Source organism: Homo sapiens, chromosome 6 (genome assembly GCF_000001405.40).
Source record: "Homo sapiens chromosome 6, GRCh38.p14 Primary Assembly".
Taxonomy (NCBI): domain Eukaryota; kingdom Metazoa; phylum Chordata; class Mammalia; order Primates; family Hominidae; genus Homo; species Homo sapiens.
In genome coordinates this window covers 116,356,217-116,372,512 of record NC_000006.12, presented here as the reverse complement: position 1 = coordinate 116,372,512, position 16,296 = coordinate 116,356,217, and the positions used below count along the sequence as shown (strand labels likewise).

Below are 16,296 nucleotides of genomic sequence, written 5' to 3'. Positions count from 1 at the left end.
TGTTTATCACTATTTCACATAGAGATTATCATTGAGAATTTTGTTTTGTTTTGTTTTGAGCCTGTCGCCCAGGCTGGAGAGCAGTGGCGCAATCTCGGCTCACTGCAAGCTCCGCCTCCTGGGTTCACGCCATTCTCCTGCCTCAGCCTCCCGAGTAGCTGGGACTACAGGCGCCCGCCACCACGCCCGGCTAATTTTTTGTATTTTTAGTAGAGACGGGGTTTCACCGTGTTAGCCAGGATGGTCTCGATCTCCTGACCTCGTGATCCGCCTGCCTCGGCCTCCCAAAGTACTGGGATTACAGGCGTGAGCCACTGCGTCCGGCCGAGAAATTTTTTAAAAACTTGAGGGAATTACTTAAAGTTTAAATTCTATAATGTGAAAAATACTAAAAATATGTATAAGTGAGATCTTTCATGCATTTAATTAACAGTGCTAAACCATGACTTTCTAAACCATGACCAACGAAAAAATTTTTAAAAAGAACTTTATTACACGAAGATTCCTAGAACTAAAAGCGTCATTGCCTGACCTAAAGAATTTCAGGTAAGTGAGGTTCACCTCCTGATTTTAACCAAAGGCTTCGGTTTCCATCTGAATGCCAGCCGGCTTAAGAGGAGGCTGCTGCTTTAAAGGAGCGATATAAACGAAAAAGTTCTCAGGTCACAAACTTAGCTCAGATTCCAGCCCCGACAGATCTTGAGCCCATGTGGCATCGCTTTCAGAGCTTCCCAGTCTGTGAGTCAAGCCCCCGCCTCCTCCCCTCCCCGGGACTGCCTCGGGGATGAGGTTTACTAACAATTTCTCCGAGTGCCGGCGGAGCCCAGGAGCGCTGGAATCCAGCGTCTGGGAGAGGCTTGGGGAGCTCTTCCTCGGCTTCTGCAGCCGCAAAGTAGGGTTGCCAGCGCCAGGATCTGCACACAAGCCGCCGCCACCTCCCCTGCCCCCAAATGGCTGGGGTACGGAGGGAAAGGAGGACGCGAGGGTGTGCCACCCAACCCCGCAGAGTGAAGCCGAGGCCCCAAGGACCGTCGAGGAAATCGCGGCTGGGCCGGCCAGATCCGACGCACGGAATGCGATCTCCAGGTTCTCATCGTGTTCCCGGCTCGGTGCTCGGCGTTCAAGGGGGTGGGGAGGATCGAAAAGCTGCCCCTCGAGGCTGCTCCGCCGCCGGGGAAGCCCGTGGCTCAGGCTTCACGCGTCAGGCGCTCTCTCGGAGTCCAGCCGAGCCGGGCCCGGGCGCGCAACCCGCGGCGCTCCGCTCTCAGCCGGGGACGTGGCTCTCCGTCTCCCGCCCGCGCCGGGACAGCCCCGAAGGCTACCCGCCCGAAACTCCCGAAGAAAGTTGCGCCGCGCGCCCCAGCTCGTCCCTTGCGCGCCCCTCCACTTACCGCTCCCAGCCGAGGCTTCGTTCTCTCCGGCGTCGCCTCCGCAGCCTCCAGAGCCAGCTCCCGGTCCTCCTCACTCCAGGGCGCCCGGGCTCCCGGCCCCCTCCGAACCGAGCCCTCCGCGCCCCCGCCGCGCCATGCCCCGGGATGCGCTGCTGCAGCCTCGGGCGACGCTACTGAGAGCCGGGCCGGCGGGGGCGGGTAGGTGTGGGCGAAAGGGGCGGAGGGAGGGACGCGGCGGGCGCTGAGGCTCCGCTGGAGGGGGGAGGAAACCGCAACGTCACCAGAGCCAGAGGAGACGAGGATGAGGAGAGGGAAACGGGGACCCCCTCCCCCGGCCGAACCCCGACCGCAGGCCCGCCCCGCTTTCTCCCGCTCCTCCTCTCCCGGGACTCGCCGCTCGCAGCTGTGCTCGGCCTTCCACGCCACCCGGCCCGGACTCCACCCGCACCCCCGCCCGCCAGGCCTCTTTGGCTCTAACTTGTTCTAGTTTCTTAGGACTCAAACGCTTCGGGTTCGAGAATCACACCCAAAGGAAAGGTAACTTTTGGAGGCCCAGGGGGAGGAGCTGATGCTTCCATACTACTCTGCGAGAGGAAAGCGAGGAAGACGTTAAGACTCTTACTACCGGGACTGGTGCCCACTCCAGTCTGCCTCCTCCCGAATAGTTACTGCCTCTTTTCTCTCGAATTCGGTTTTACTCTCTTCTCAAAGAGAAGTTAGTGGGAGGGGGGACTTTGGGGCGGGGGTCACCTATAGAGAAGCAGTTCTCTTTTTTACTGTACCAACAAAATACACTAAATCCAAGCGCACCGAACCCTGCAAACGGAACAGATTTTAATCACAGAAGGTCAGGAGCAAAGCATTTAATGTAGGCAGCTCACAAACAGAAATTTATCTTACGCGGTGGGGGGGTGTGTGTGTGTGAGAGAGAGAGATCCCTCATGCACCCAAGTTCAGGTGGAGCATTTGCAACCTTGGTAGTCACAGCCTCCTGGAGAAGAGTCCTCCTGTTTTCCAAAAATCAGCCACTGCTCAAACACGCTCAGCCAGGTCCAACCAGGCCCCAAGGAGATGTGAGGTAGGATCAGGGCCATCACCTCAGGAATACTTTGCCCCTTCCACCTCCACCCAGTGTGTGCAAGTAACCTACCAGACCTAGATTGTACAGAAGTGAAAGATTTGTAGGATACTTACCCATTCATTAGAATGAGAGATATTTTACTGGGAGCAGTGCTTTTCTCCATGAGTTCTGAAGGGCACCTCCATCCAATTCCTCTATCCTCAGAGGTTCTCACTTCTATTTGGCCAAATAAGGAAAAAATGTGGATGTCTCAGTTTATGCTTCTCTTTTTCAGAAATTGCATTTAAGAGGAACTCCTTACAAACAGGTCAAGAGGAAGTGGTACTATTAAATTTTTTAAATGTTCACTCAGGTGAACCACTAATTTGCATAAACTTCTTGATGCTTTAGGGAAGGCCTGTCGAGGAGAGAAGAGGGCTCTGGAAACTGGAACTAATCTTTGGTTCAAATCCAAACTTTGCTTTTACTACTGTGGGCCTTGGAAAACTAACATCAGAACCTCAGTTTCCTCATCTATAGTGTAACAATATAATACCTTGTTTGAACAGTTATGGAGAGGATATAATAAAAATAGCTAATGTTTATTGAGAGTTTACTACACCATATCAGACGGTCACTGTGCTAAGAGATTTACATATACTAATTCAATTATTAGAATAAATTGTGAAAGTGTCTAGCTGTATTATGTAATCCGTAAGTGTTAATTTCCATTTATCTTCTCAAATTTGAAAGAGACTTTAGAAAAAACATCTGGTTTAATTTACGTAACCTCTCAGCAAGTAGTAGTCTAGTTCAGTGATTCTCCAACCTAGAACTTTAGAATCAGCAGGGGAGCTATAATAAATTCTTTCCAATGGGGACCCCCACGCAAGAACAACAAATCAGAATCTCTGAGGTTAGGGTCTAAGCATCAGCATCTGCATTTTAAAATCTCTTCCTAGATGATCACAATGTACAACCAGGATTGAGAATTCTTCAAAGGAGGTAGTACTGACTGTCATTTGCTCCCCTTTACCCTCACACCCCCCACAATTTTGCTTTTGAGTGACCTGCGAATTGGCCTCTGGATGACATTCACTTTGTGCAAAGCCCCCCCCGTCCCCCCGCCCCCGCCCACCCCATTACAGTAAGTCTCAACAGATCTGCTATTCTGCTCTCTGGAATCTACAGGATACACCTAGCCTTGATTCCACAGGAGAATACTTCAATTTACCTGGGTACATATTAACTCCATCAGCTTTTCTTCATCCATTAGGAAAGCTCTCAGGAGGAGATTTACTTTGCCAACATCTCTCTCAAACCCTGATGCCAAGAATTGAATTCAAGGTTTCACCCAAGTGACAAACTAGAAAGATGTTTAATGGCTTTGTTGTAATTACTGTATTTCCCTAAGTATATCCTTGGAGCTTCCATGGCAGCAATATTACCCAGCTGACTCCATATTACAATCTACCAAATAAAACCTTAAAGTGTTAAAAGTTTAGTTGGAGAATCACTGAACTAAACAACTACACTCAATGCAGTGTTCAGCACTTTACCTGTGATTCTACTGAATTTTATTGTGTTAAATTAGGCCTCTTAGCTTGTTGACATATTGGGTATCATTGATATAACTGAGTAATTCCACCTCTCAATTTCATGACCTCTGTAAATCCGGTCTGTATGCCATGCCATCATTTAAGTTCTCATTCTCAGGTACCTTCCTCTGCCAACCGACACTGGATTTGAATGCTACTGATGAACATTCTTATCAGTTGAGGACCCACATGTTACCTTGTCCTATTTTTGTCTGTTGTCCCAGGGTAGCAGCCTGTGTACATGGGTACGTGGCACTTTTGTAAGAATTAGAAAAAGGTATCCCCACTCTCACCTTAGCTGAAGGATTAGGAAAAAGTGACCCCTTACGCCTAGATGCAGCTCCAAACAGACAGCAGATGAGCTTTGTCTATTGGATGTCTTTGCTCTACTGTAATATTGTCAAAAAACAAAGGAAATGACTACTTAGTGAATTGTGGTTCATGTCTACAAAATTGTGTCTTCCTTTTCTAAGTATCCAGATGTCATTTTAATAATAGGTTTATTCATTTTGTTCAGTATCTGTGAAAAGTTTCTTGCCTCGGTTTCAGACTAAGGCAAAAACTGGAACTCCATCTGTCCACCTCCAGTTTTTTAGTGTTCATCTCCCTCTGCTGATTCTAGCTGAGAGTCCTTATTGGTAAACTCTCCTTGCTGAGATGGAAATTTACTAGGCAAGAAGAAGTTAAGCTTTAGACAGCTAGGACATATTTTCTTACAAGCTTCTTCACCTATCTTTTCAGTTAACTCTTTGAAAGCTTATTTTATCCCTTACATTTAATGGTTTATTTTTACATAATAGAGAAGACAAAAAAAAGGGAATTAGTTTTGTTTAGTCATCCATTTTATCTCAAGCAGAGGCATCCCTTCCATGTTCTTCTTGTCTGAACAAAACAAAATGTTATTTTTTGTTGTTGTCGTCCTTAGTTTATTCTTGGCTTTAGCCTAAAATAACAGAGTAACAATATTACAGGGCTGTTACAGGTATGCGGCTTCTGTTCTCCTCTTGAGTTTAATTCATTAAACTAAATTTTAATCTGCCTTTTATGTTTTACTAATCAGTCTGGTCCATGACTATACATCTGCTTCCATTCTTGAAATGCTTTTTGTTTTTCTTCCTCAGGCCAAAATTATTCTATTTGTAAAACTGCCTTACCCTGCACCTATAGATTCTCTCATCTTCAGATCACAGAAGAAGTAAGATCATTTTGGTTTGCTCAAGCCATACTGCCCTGTACTTGTACTTACTGATTCAGTGATAATCTCCTGAGCTTTCCCTTCCATTTCTGAGCATTCAGCCCTGGCCAGGCATCCTCCAGAGGCTTCTCCAAGCTTCCTTGCTCAGGCCTCCCTCCCTGCCTTTCTCAGCGCTGACATGATCTTCTCCATTACCAAGACTGCTCCGCTGCGACTGCTTCATCTCCAGATGACTCAAGCTTCGTGGGCTTAGTTTTCATCTTTAAAAAAAATGAAACATTGACCTACATTCTTAATAATAATTGAATTCCACCTCCACTGCAAGTCACAATTTGAGATTTCTGCAGGTACATACTTCCTGGCCTCACAATCTTCTAATAGGTCATGAAATGTACCAGGCACGTCCATACGTGTCTCCTTTTATCCTCACAGGCACTGACTGATGAGGAAACAGAGGCTCTGAAAGTTAAAGTGAATTTCCCAAACCATAAATGGTTCAGACCACATAACAATTATGTTTTCTGACATAAAATCTAGGATCCTTCCACTAAACCACTTGGCCTAGACTAACTTTTTGTGTCTAAAGCCTCATTTACAGTTTGCGTATCCTGGCCTCAGTTGAAAGCTATTCTCCATTCATTGACAATTGACTTTTGAAATGGATGATTTTATATCACCTCTTATTATAAACTACCTAAGGTGTCCTAAACACCTTCCAAATTATAATATTGTTCTCTGAAATTACAAAAATTACTGATATTTGTTACATGAATGAATGAAATTAGATGTTTATTCTTTTCCTTAGACTTAATAGACCAAAAGGAGTGTAACATTTAGTATTATAAGCTCCTTCATGGTAGAGACTCTTCTTCATTTCTATAGCCATTCCTCATATTTCCTGGCAGAGGGCACGTTTATTAAATTAGAATTCAATTTTCAGATTGTGGCTGTGTCCCAGTCTAGATACCATGGTGGATAATTTAATGTGTCCATCAAATAAGAGCAAGGACTTTGAAGTTGAACAAAACTAGGCTGAAATCTAGACTCTGTCACTAACTGTGTGACCTTAGGCAGGCAAGTCATTTAACATTGTTGAGTTCCACTTTCTCATCAGTAGGATTTTGATATGCAAACTTTTCTCATACAGTTTCTGGAAGGAGCAAACCAAACGTTGTATATAAAATACCTGCCAAGGAATGAGAACTCAGTAAGTAGGTGTTTATTGTCATAACTTAGAATGGTTCTAGGGGCTGTCAATGAGAGATACACCCTTTGGAATCAGTCTTGTGTGGACTGGAACATGCCTGGGCATTTTTCAGGCAGGATCTGAAGCAATTAAGGTGAGTGATACCCTACCTCTCAGAACCCTGCTAAAAGTAGTTGAGGTCATGCCAGTTTTTGCAATAGTTTGGAAATCAAGCCTTCTGTGCTCTTCAGGAGGAGATAAGGATTGTCGTGGCAGTATTCTATAATAGTAATTCTAACCCCTGGGTGCATATTAGCATCACTTGGGAGAACCCAAAACACACCAATGCCTAGTTGTACTCTTAGAAATTCTGATTTAATTCCTTCTAGGATGAAGTCCAGATACCCCATATGCTTTTAAAGGTACGAGATAGTTCCAATGTGCAGCCAGAGTTAGAACCAATGCTACGTAGTGGTGCTTCCCAAACTTTGCTGCACATTAGAACCATCTGGAGAGCTTTAAGAACTTCCGGCCACGTGCGGTGGCTCACGGCTGTGATCCCAGCACTTTGGGAGGCCGAGATGGGCAGATCACGAGGTCAGGAGATCGAGACCATCCTGGCTAACATGGTGAAACCCCGTCTCTACTAAATATACAAAAAATTAGCCAGGCGTGGTGGTGGGTGCTTGTAGTCCCAGCTACTTGGGAGGCTGAGGCAGGAGAATGGCGTGAACCCAGGAGGCGGAGCTTGCAGTGAGCCGATTGCACCACTGCACTCCAGCCTGGGCGATAGAGCAAGACTCCATCCCCCCCACAAAAAAAGAACTTCCGATGCCCCAGTTATAGTCTGTACCAACCAAATTAGAAAGTTTGAGGTGTTTAAAACTCTGTGATTCCAATGTACCAAAAGTTTGGAACCACTGTTTTATAGAGTGTTACTAAATAGGCTGGGTGAGGTGGCTCACACCTGTAATCCCAGCACTTTGGGAGGCCAATGCAGGCAAACTGCTTGAGCCCAGGAGTTCGAGATCAGCCTGGGCAACATGGCAAAACCCCATCTCTACTAAAAACACACACAAAAAATTAGCCGGGCATGGTGGCGCACACTGTAATCCCAGTTACTCAGGAGGCTGAGGCACGAGAATTGCTGGAACCCAAGAGGCAGAGGTTGCAGTGAGCCGAGATCACACCACTGCACTCCAGCCTGGGCAACAAGAGTGAAACTCGGTGTCAAAAAAAAAAAAAAAAAAAAAAGTGTTACTAAACAGGTACTTGAACCAAAGGAAGTATTAATTAGAGAATATGTTTATTTGCCACATTTCTTCTGGTTTATTAATTATATAAAATATTGTGAAGATTAGTTTTTATTAACTCAAGCTCACTAATGTATTTCTTTCTAAATACTTTTGTTGGATATGCAGTTTGGGAAAAATAATATTTGATGTCAATACTGGCTGAACTAGTGAAGTTGACTTCATATTGCAGTTAATGTTTCACTTCAAGTTTCTGCTGCCTGAGTATTACACATAGTGAATTCCAGTAAAACATTTAACAGCCAGGCCATTCAGACTTCTCCTTCTGCTCAGGCCTTTTCTTCTGCTGATGAGATTACCCGTGTCAGGCAAAGAAAATCTTGGCTATTTTGCATTTATAGTATCTTTTAGATGGGAAATAGTCGACAGTTTGCTGATGTTAAACTTAAGTATGTAGTCTAGTGACATGTTTCTATGTCCTTTCTCACCAAACTCCAAAGAATACACACTGGTTCTTTTTCCATGTTTTCTTTCATTTTTGATTTTTTAATAGTGACATTTTGATTTTGCCATTTTTACTCATCTTGGCCAAATGGAAACACTGCCATTTTAAAAAAATGTTAAAATAACAAAATAAAAACCCAACAACAGTTTAACAAACAAACAAAAAACACAGCATTCCTTAGAAGTATTTGTCATCTAAGTGAGAAAAGTATAAGGAAACTTGGAATAATTATATTCTAACCATTTTGTTTTACAAAGAAACCAAGGTTAACATAGATGGGGACTGTTACCAGTTTTTGCTGCTAATTAGTTAGAAGTGGAAGGAGAAGTCAAGCCTCCTGATTCCTAGCCAGATTTTCTTTTTCTCACTTCTCCTTGCTGAATCATTGGCCAAAAATGTACAACTAACTTCTCCTTTTGGGAAGTGCATATTTCATATTAACTCTGGCAATTTATGAAAAAATGTAGATTCATTTGCTCCATTAACAAAATATCAGTGCCTAAGAAGAAATAAGGTTGATTTTTGAAAGAAATCAAGTGCCTACTCAGAATGTGCAGGGGATGGCACCTTTCATTTAGCAGCGTTAAGCTTAATGTGTTGTTTTACTTATGATGTAATTTCTCCCCGATATATGAACAATGTAAGTTCACATCACTACATATGTAAAATCACTATCTAACTAAATGCCTGTCCTTGAGGTGAAATCTTTAATAAACTTTCACCCATCTTGAGTTATTTTTCCTCTGATTATACCTGGGAATTAAGGTATTTAAAAGTTCTAATAAATTTCCATCTTTTTATTGCATGAATCAATTTTCTGAATTTCCTGTTATTATACAAGAAGGCTGATACTTGATAGCAGTGCTTCTGTTCATGGTGGGCAGATTAATGTTGTGGTGTGAAGATCAGCTAAGTATCTATCATATATATATACACACACACACACAAAGCACACACATGTGTATATATATGTATATTTTAAAATCTCACTTTCTGATCAGTCATTAAACATGTGGCAAGTATCTATCATATAGACACACACACACAAGCACACACATATATGCATATATGTGTGTGTGTATATATATATTTAAATATCTCACTTTCTGATCAGTCATTAAACGTGGCAAAAAAAAGCAACTGTTACAAAGTAGAAATAGATATAGGATACAACAATCTTGGATTGTAGTATAATGGAAAAGTTACTTTAAATGAATCTGCCTGAAATTGACAAATTTTAATGTTGTCTGGGGGGAAATTAATGGGTTAATTCTGGAAACTGAAAGTTCTAGGTTCTAGGACTAAATTGACCCTAGAAGAAATTCTGTTTTTACTTCCCCTGTACATTTGGAAAAATCAGCAGTAGCATAAACCATGATAACTTGGGAAAATCACTTAACTTCTTTTGAGTCTTAGTGTCCTTAGCTATAAATAGAAGAAACCATTCTACTTCATTTGTTCTCAAGTATGGTTATACTTTAGGACCACCCAGGAAACTTTGGGAAAATAAATGATGCCCTGTACTACCTCCAGACAAATTAAAGCGAAATTTCTGGGGGATGTGGCCTAGGCTAGAGGTGCTCAAAAATATGGTCCATGGACCACTGCTATTAGCATCACTGATTCATTAGTCAGCCTGGGATGCCATGACAAAATACCATAGACTGGATGGCTAAAACAATAGAAATTTATTTCTCACGGTGCTGGAGGCTAGGAAGTTCAAGATCAAGGTGCTAACCAATTCTGTTTCTGATGAGGGTTCTCTTCCTTGCTTGCAGACAGTAGCCTATGTTCTCACGTGGCCTGCACATGGAGATAGAGTGATTTCTCTTTCTCCCTCTTATAAGGCACCACCCTTATGACCTCATTTTGCCTTTCTTTAATCCTAAAAGCTCTATTTCCAAATATGGTCACATTGGGGGTTGGGGCTTACATATGAATTTTGGGGAACAAAATTCAGTCCATAGCACTTGAGATCTTGAAAATTTTCAGACCAATCCCAGATCTACTTAATTAGATTCTCTAGGGGTGAGGGCCAGGAATCCATGTTTTAAAAAACTCTGCAGGTGATTCTTATGTACCTTTGAGTTTGAAGACCACTGGCCTAAGCCAATAGTTCTTAACACTTAGACTGTATATTGGAATCACTTAGGGAATTTATAAACCTTTGATACCTGGGGCCCTATCACAGAGATTCCAGTTTACCTGTTGCAGGATGCATAGTCTAAACAAGTTTTACAGCTTTTGAAAGTGAATCCCATCTGAGAACCACTGGTGCAGAATATCTCTGAGGGTCTTTACAGTCTAAAACGGTATATATTTTAATATAATGACATATACAAAATATGTATATAATACAATACATAGTCTAGATAATTTTCATCAGAAGGAGGATGATAGAATAGCTCTATTTTGTAGCTTCAGATACGACTCACGTTTGTTGTGAGTCCCTTTTCATTAATCAGTTGATGACATAATGCATTAAACAGGAACTTTTTGAGAAGTACTATTGTGATAGTACATTTGCTAAATATAAGCTTCTTTATTTTTCAGTAAAAATCAAGGATTTATTTGATGGTTAATGTGTTTCTACTGGATAAGACTAAATAAGAGTTTGGAGAGCAGCCAGAGGCTTATGAGATACACACACACACAAATTTTTCTTTCCAGAGATGGGGTCTTGCTCTGTTGCCCAGGCTGGAGTACAGTGGCAGGATCATAGCTCACTACAACCTCAAACTCCTGGGCTCAAGTGATACTCTCACCTTAGCCTCCTGAGCAGCTGGGACTGTAGATGTGCACCATCACACCCAGCTCTCTTGAGATATTTTAAAAGAATCTTACAAATTGTGAGTCCAGGAATAATTCTGGAAAACAATCTGATTATTTTGTAAATCTCAAAAAAGCTCATTAAGCCATATAAACTAAGAAGCTATGGGTATTTCTTGATGTTAAAACTTATATTCGGCCGGGTGCAGTGGCTCACACCTGTAATCCCAGCACTTTGGGAGGCTGAGGCAGGCAGATCACAAGGTCAGGAGTTTGACACCAGCCTGCCCAACATGGTGAAACCCCACCTCTACTAAAAGTAGAAAAAGTTACCCAGGCGTGGTGGCGTACACCTGTAATCGCAGCTACTGGGGAGGCTAAGGCAGAAGAATCGCCTGAACCCAGGAAGCGGAGGTTGTGGTCAGCCGAGATCACGCCACTCCAGCCTGGGCAACAGAGCGAGACTCCATCTCAAAAAAAACAAAAACAAAACAAAAAACTTCAGTTACATAATTTTAAAATCTCTTTTAATATTAGAATATAAATGGCTCTATGATAAAAATTATAGATGTCATTTTCCTCAAATTTTACAATAATAGCTGTAAAAAATGGCATCTTAAAAAATGTATCCCAAATCATCAGAACTCTGACCAGTGAATTTAATTGTCATGCAGTCAGCACAAATATTAGCACATAAAAGCAGAAAACTCAACTCATAGTTTTTCTTTTCTCCCCAAGGCATGCAAGGCATTAAAAAAAAATTAAAAATGTCAAATTCATCACAGAGGAATAAGTAACTGAAGAATCAAAATTAACTATCATCTTTAAAGTGCTGGGGCTTAATAGGAAAGTTATTAAAAGTGGTATTTGAGCATCTGACTTTATTAGAATTATGATGCGGCCAACGTGGCGACCTTTTCCAAATTTATGTACATATTAAGTATCCACACTAATGTTACAAAGGGACTGAGAGTTAACACTAAATTGGTAAATTCATTCAAATATTCATGCTCTATTTAAAGAGGGATAATGGTGTGACCTTTATTTTCAAGTCTTTTAAAAACTAGCTTTTGAATATTTTCCCCATGTTTCAATAAGTAAAATTACCAGGAAATTACAAATGAAATATTAAAATACATGTCAAGATATGACTTTTTTTCCAGATGCAGATGCAGATAAATATTCCTTACCTTTTTCAAAATTTTTAAAAATTTTAAGTTCCAGGGTACATGTGCAGGATGTGTTTTGTGACATAGGTAAATGTGTGCCATGGTGGTTTGCTGCACCTATCAACCCATCACCTAGGTATTAAGCCCAGCATCCATTAGCTGTGTTTCCTGATGCTCTCCCTCCCCTGTCACCCACAGGCCCCAGTGTGTGTTGTTCTCCTCCCTGTGTTCTTATCATTCAGCTCCTACTTATAAGTGAGAACATGCGGTGTTTGGTTTTCTGTTCCTGCGTTAGTTTGCTGAGGATAATGACTCCATCCATGACTCTGCAAAGGACATGATCTTGTTCCTTTTTATAGCTGCATAGTATTCCATGGTGTAATATACCTTCTCTTTAAGCAAGTTTTTAAGTAAAACAATTTTGTGGGGAATCATTTGAAAATAATGTTGCCATATGAACTGTGCTTTCTTTGGATGCTACTAAGAATGACTATGGCTTAACAAACTAACCTAAGAGATCTTGCCTCACAAGTCAACAGATGCCATTTGGTGAGTAAAATGAGCTACATCAACACTCAGAACGATAGATGAGCTAGCATATGCTTGAAAAGTAATGGAAGTATTATAGATTCCTAATTTGTAATAATATTGCAAAGCCTATCTGTTTCCACTTAACCATATTACCTGTCCTATACACTGTACTGAAATTAATGATCTGTATTACAGTTTTTATTCTGAGTGTGAAAGAATAATACTAACTTTTATTTATCCCTGATCTATCAGCTGTCGTTCTCTGAAATTTAAACCTAGACAAGAAGCTTCTGAATTTTACTAATATTAAAACAGTATTTGCTATATATAGGAAACAAAAGCTATATAACTACAGTAGCTGAACTAAAATTATAAATAGGAAGAAAAGTATATTTAAATTTGATCATAGATGGTTGACAACAATTACTAAAATCCTTAAGACTTATGATTACCCCCTTTTCTAATCTACCGTTAAAAAAATAATAGTATGGAGGTTTAGAAGGAGGAAGTTGTGAAAGATATCATAGAGGCAAACCTACAAATGCTTGTATAGTAAGTGTTCCCTATTTAGTCTAGCATGAAATCATAAGAATTGTTATGTACTCTAATAATCTATTTCTGAGAGTTCCCTTAAGGCAGATTTTCTTCAAACCTTTTCTTTAAACTAAAACTAATATGGATAGGCAGATGATAAATAGGAAGATAGACAATAAAGATATAGAAATATATATATATTAAAGTTTCAGAAGTCAATGTTTCTATTTTTTATTTCAGTCTATTTCATTAAAAAAGAAAGAGAATTTGATCAACCAAATAGATTTCAAGACCCACTAATAGATTGCAACTTGAAGCTTAAAAACATTGCACTGAGGTTACTGTGTATGTGTAGAGAGATACTGTTCATGTTTACTTTCAAAGTTTAAGGGTATAGACCTCTAAGAACTATGAAACTGAAATAATGACTTCTGAATGCTTTCTAACCTACATAAATCTGACTGATAAACACAATAAAGCATCAAGAAGATGGCTTGATGCTTTAGCCAAACAAAAGGCAAAAGTAGAGCCAACTTTGATTAAATTCAAACACCTTGTGGCATTTAGAGGCATGCTCATATTGGCAGGAGAAGGAAACTGTAGCAAATAGATAAGGTTTAAAGCAATACACTATCTTTGTTTGTCCAAGGACCACGTAGCTCTTCCAATAGGAAGATCATTTGTTTATGAGGCACAACAAGAAATTCTGCAGTAGTTGGAGTTGTAAGGCACCTGAGGTTCCCCACAGCCTAGAAGCTATCAGCTCATCAACGAAAAGGTCCACCTGGTTGATCTGGAGTCTTCAGTTCCTGCCACTGGGAAGGATACTTCCAAGAACTGCATTTTCTACCCTACACCTGGCATATTCCATCACCACTTTGTCTTAGATTTTTATTAATTAAAGAATAACTCTTCCCCTCAACAAAGCTCCATTTATAAATAATTGTATGGCACTAGTATTTATGCCAATGTAGGCTGCAGTCTGCTATTACAGATGGTAGTGATATTATATCTCCAAACATGACATTTTCATTTATTACTATTCACAAAGTGAATGTCATTGCCCTAGATCTCTATGATCAGAAACAGTCAGTAGCAGAAAAAACAAACAAACAAAAAAATCACCTACAAGTCATGTAGGAAAGAGACTCATGATCAGGAATTTTTGCTGCATTGGATACCAGGCTTTGAAGAAAGGCAAAGAAGACTTGCCTGCCTTCTTCCAGCAGCAAGGATTCAACTAGACAGTAAAGGACTGAAATTGAAAGTATTTCTGTGACCTGTTCTAAGAAATCATTAAAAAATCAGATTTATTCACATACTCTTATTTGCCTAGGGACATTTTAATTTATCAGTGACTTGGGTTAATTACTCCCTATAAATTCTATACTTGACAGATCAGCTTAAACTTGAGGCATTCAGAAGGAAATACATCAAAATGCAACAGACATGGGCCGGGCATTTCTATGCATCTGCACTGACTTTGAAAAATACACACACACGTGCGCACGCGGATTTTAATACATTTTGGGACATATATGCATGAATCTCAACTGGCTTGGAATCATTGGGGAAAGTAGATCCTTTGCACCCTTCAGAGCAGCAAATATTTCTGTGGTAGGGGAAGTAGTTTCTAAATATTTTGGATGCTTACCAATAACACTATTAAAGTTCTTACATATTTTATTAAAAGATGAGAAAGAAGAAAAACAATTTTTTGGCTTAAAATAACTGTTATATAAGCAAGGCTCTGCTGATGCCATGCAAAAAGATAACTTTTTTTTTTTTTTGAGATGGAGTCTCGCTCTGTCACCCAGGCTGGAGTGCAGTGGCGCGGTGTCGGCTCACTGCAAGCTCTGCCTCCTGGGTTCATGCCTTTCTCCTGCCTCAGCCTCCTGTGTAGCTGGGACCACAGGTGCCCACTACCATGCCCGGCTAATTTTTTGTATTTTTAGTAGAGACGGGGTTTCACCGTGTTAGCCAGGATGGTCTCGATCTCCTGACCTCGTCATCCACCCGCCTTGGCCTCCCAAAGTGCTGGGATTACAGGCTTGAGCCACCGTGCCCGGCTGATAACTTGTTTTTGTGGCTAAAGGGCATGAGCCAGGGAGGGGCTCACCACCCATCAACACTTGATCCTTCTAACTAGTACTGGAGAAGAAGAAACATTGTTCTCTGGATGCCAGAGAAAACCAGAATGTTAGTAAACATGCGGGTGGGAGAAATATTATTAGTGAATGTCACACTACTCAAATAAGTAGAATTTGTTTTTTGGAACCATATTTTGCAAAGATACTAAGGCCTCACTTAAACCATAGCTCCGTGTGGAGGCAAAACTAATAATGTGAGATGGTGAAAAGAGGAGGCATCTGCTTAAGGGCATGACTATGGTTCTGTAGTAATGAATTTGGACGCATTAGTTATGCAAACAGAATCTGGTGAGCAGAGACTACAGCAGGGGCTATGAGTGGTGAGGCTTTCTATGCCTCAGAATTCTAGGAATCCTAAAACACTCAGTGTGGCTACTGTCGCCAAAGACAAGCAGCACGGGAGGGAGAAGCTAGCATTGGATGGAAATCCAGAGTTGTGGGATTCGGGAATACCCTGGCTCTACCAACAACTCAGGTTACCAGAATAAGTCACTTTACCAATGGGGTACCTGTTTCGTCATTCGCAAAGTGAGATAATTGTTTCATCTACAAGATTCCTATAACTTTAAAATTTTATGACTCAAAGTTCCTGAGCTATGGAACCTATGCCTTCTAGATCAAAATTGTCCAGTAGAAATATAATGTAAGCCACTTATGTAACTTTAAATGCTTTATTGCCACATTAAAATATGTTTTTAAAAAGATGAAATTAGGTCTTATAATACTTTTATGTAACCCCCTATGTCCAAAACATTATGGTTTTAGTGTAAGTCTTTGAAATCTTGACTAGCTATGCATACTTCAAGTGGCCAATAGCCACATGTGCCTAGTGGCTACTGTCTACCATATTAGATATCATAGCTTTAGGCAGTTGTGTAAAGTTCACAGGATGGGAGCAGGAGCTACATTTCTCTTTGATGCTCTGAGCCATAGTTCCAAAAACTAGAACTATTTA

At 41.1% G+C, this 16,296-nt stretch overlaps 1 protein-coding gene and 1 long non-coding RNA gene across 17 annotated transcripts in view, besides 5 other annotated features; one reads left to right on the top strand and one right to left on the bottom strand.

The window, feature by feature from the left end:
- The window catches only part of DSE (dermatan sulfate epimerase), a 190,691-nt gene that overhangs the window by 72,349 nt on the left and 102,046 nt on the right, over positions 1–16,296 (bottom strand). For 4 of the 16 annotated variants that reach the window (NM_013352.4, NM_001322944.2, NM_001322943.2 and 1 more), the window contains exon 1: positions 1,392–1,566. The exons of 8 other annotated variants lie outside the window; for them this stretch is intronic. Coding sequence is in view for 1 of the 8 variants with exons in the window: in NM_001322939.2 (NP_001309868.1) it covers positions 2,586–2,589 (4 nt within the window). In the remaining 7 variants the exon portion in view is untranslated. Of the gene's footprint in view, positions 1–1,391; positions 1,567–2,239; positions 2,399–2,585; positions 2,695–5,295; positions 6,431–16,296 lie in introns of those variants that run through there. 4 more of the 16 variants (NR_136523.2, NR_136522.2, NR_136521.2 and 1 more) reach the window with 4 other exon arrangements.
- Positions 695–1,195: an enhancer, noted in NCBI's record as "H3K27ac hESC enhancer chr6:116692481-116692981 (GRCh37/hg19 assembly coordinates)". NCBI's record gives its function as "activates a minimal SCP1, AML or CMV promoter by ChIP-STARR-seq in primed H9 embryonic stem cells {active_cell/tissue: H9 hESC(primed)}" and the evidence as "EXISTENCE:reporter gene assay evidence [ECO:0000049][PMID:30033119]".
- On the top strand, positions 794–5,088 carry LOC100287467 (uncharacterized). Its single transcript, NR_148944.1, has one exon. It is a non-coding gene; the product is annotated as an uncharacterized LOC100287467 (long non-coding RNA).
- Positions 1,193–1,487: a silencer, noted in NCBI's record as "tiled region #2122; HepG2 Repressive DNase matched - State 4:PromP, and K562 Repressive non-DNase unmatched - State 4:PromP". NCBI's record gives its function as "represses a minimal TATA promoter and a strong SV40 promoter by Sharpr-MPRA in HepG2 and K562 cells {active_cell/tissue: HepG2 | K562}" and the evidence as "EXISTENCE:reporter gene assay evidence [ECO:0000049][PMID:27701403]".
- Positions 1,193–1,779: a biological region, named in NCBI's record as "Sharpr-MPRA regulatory region 2122".
- Positions 1,250–1,779: a silencer, noted in NCBI's record as "silent region_17492". NCBI's record gives its function as "represses an Ori minimal core promoter by ATAC-STARR-seq in GM12878 lymphoblastoid cells {active_cell/tissue: GM12878}" and the evidence as "EXISTENCE:reporter gene assay evidence [ECO:0000049][PMID:35858748]".
- Positions 2,710–2,759: an enhancer, noted in NCBI's record as "active region_24987". NCBI's record gives its function as "activates an Ori minimal core promoter by ATAC-STARR-seq in GM12878 lymphoblastoid cells {active_cell/tissue: GM12878}" and the evidence as "EXISTENCE:reporter gene assay evidence [ECO:0000049][PMID:35858748]".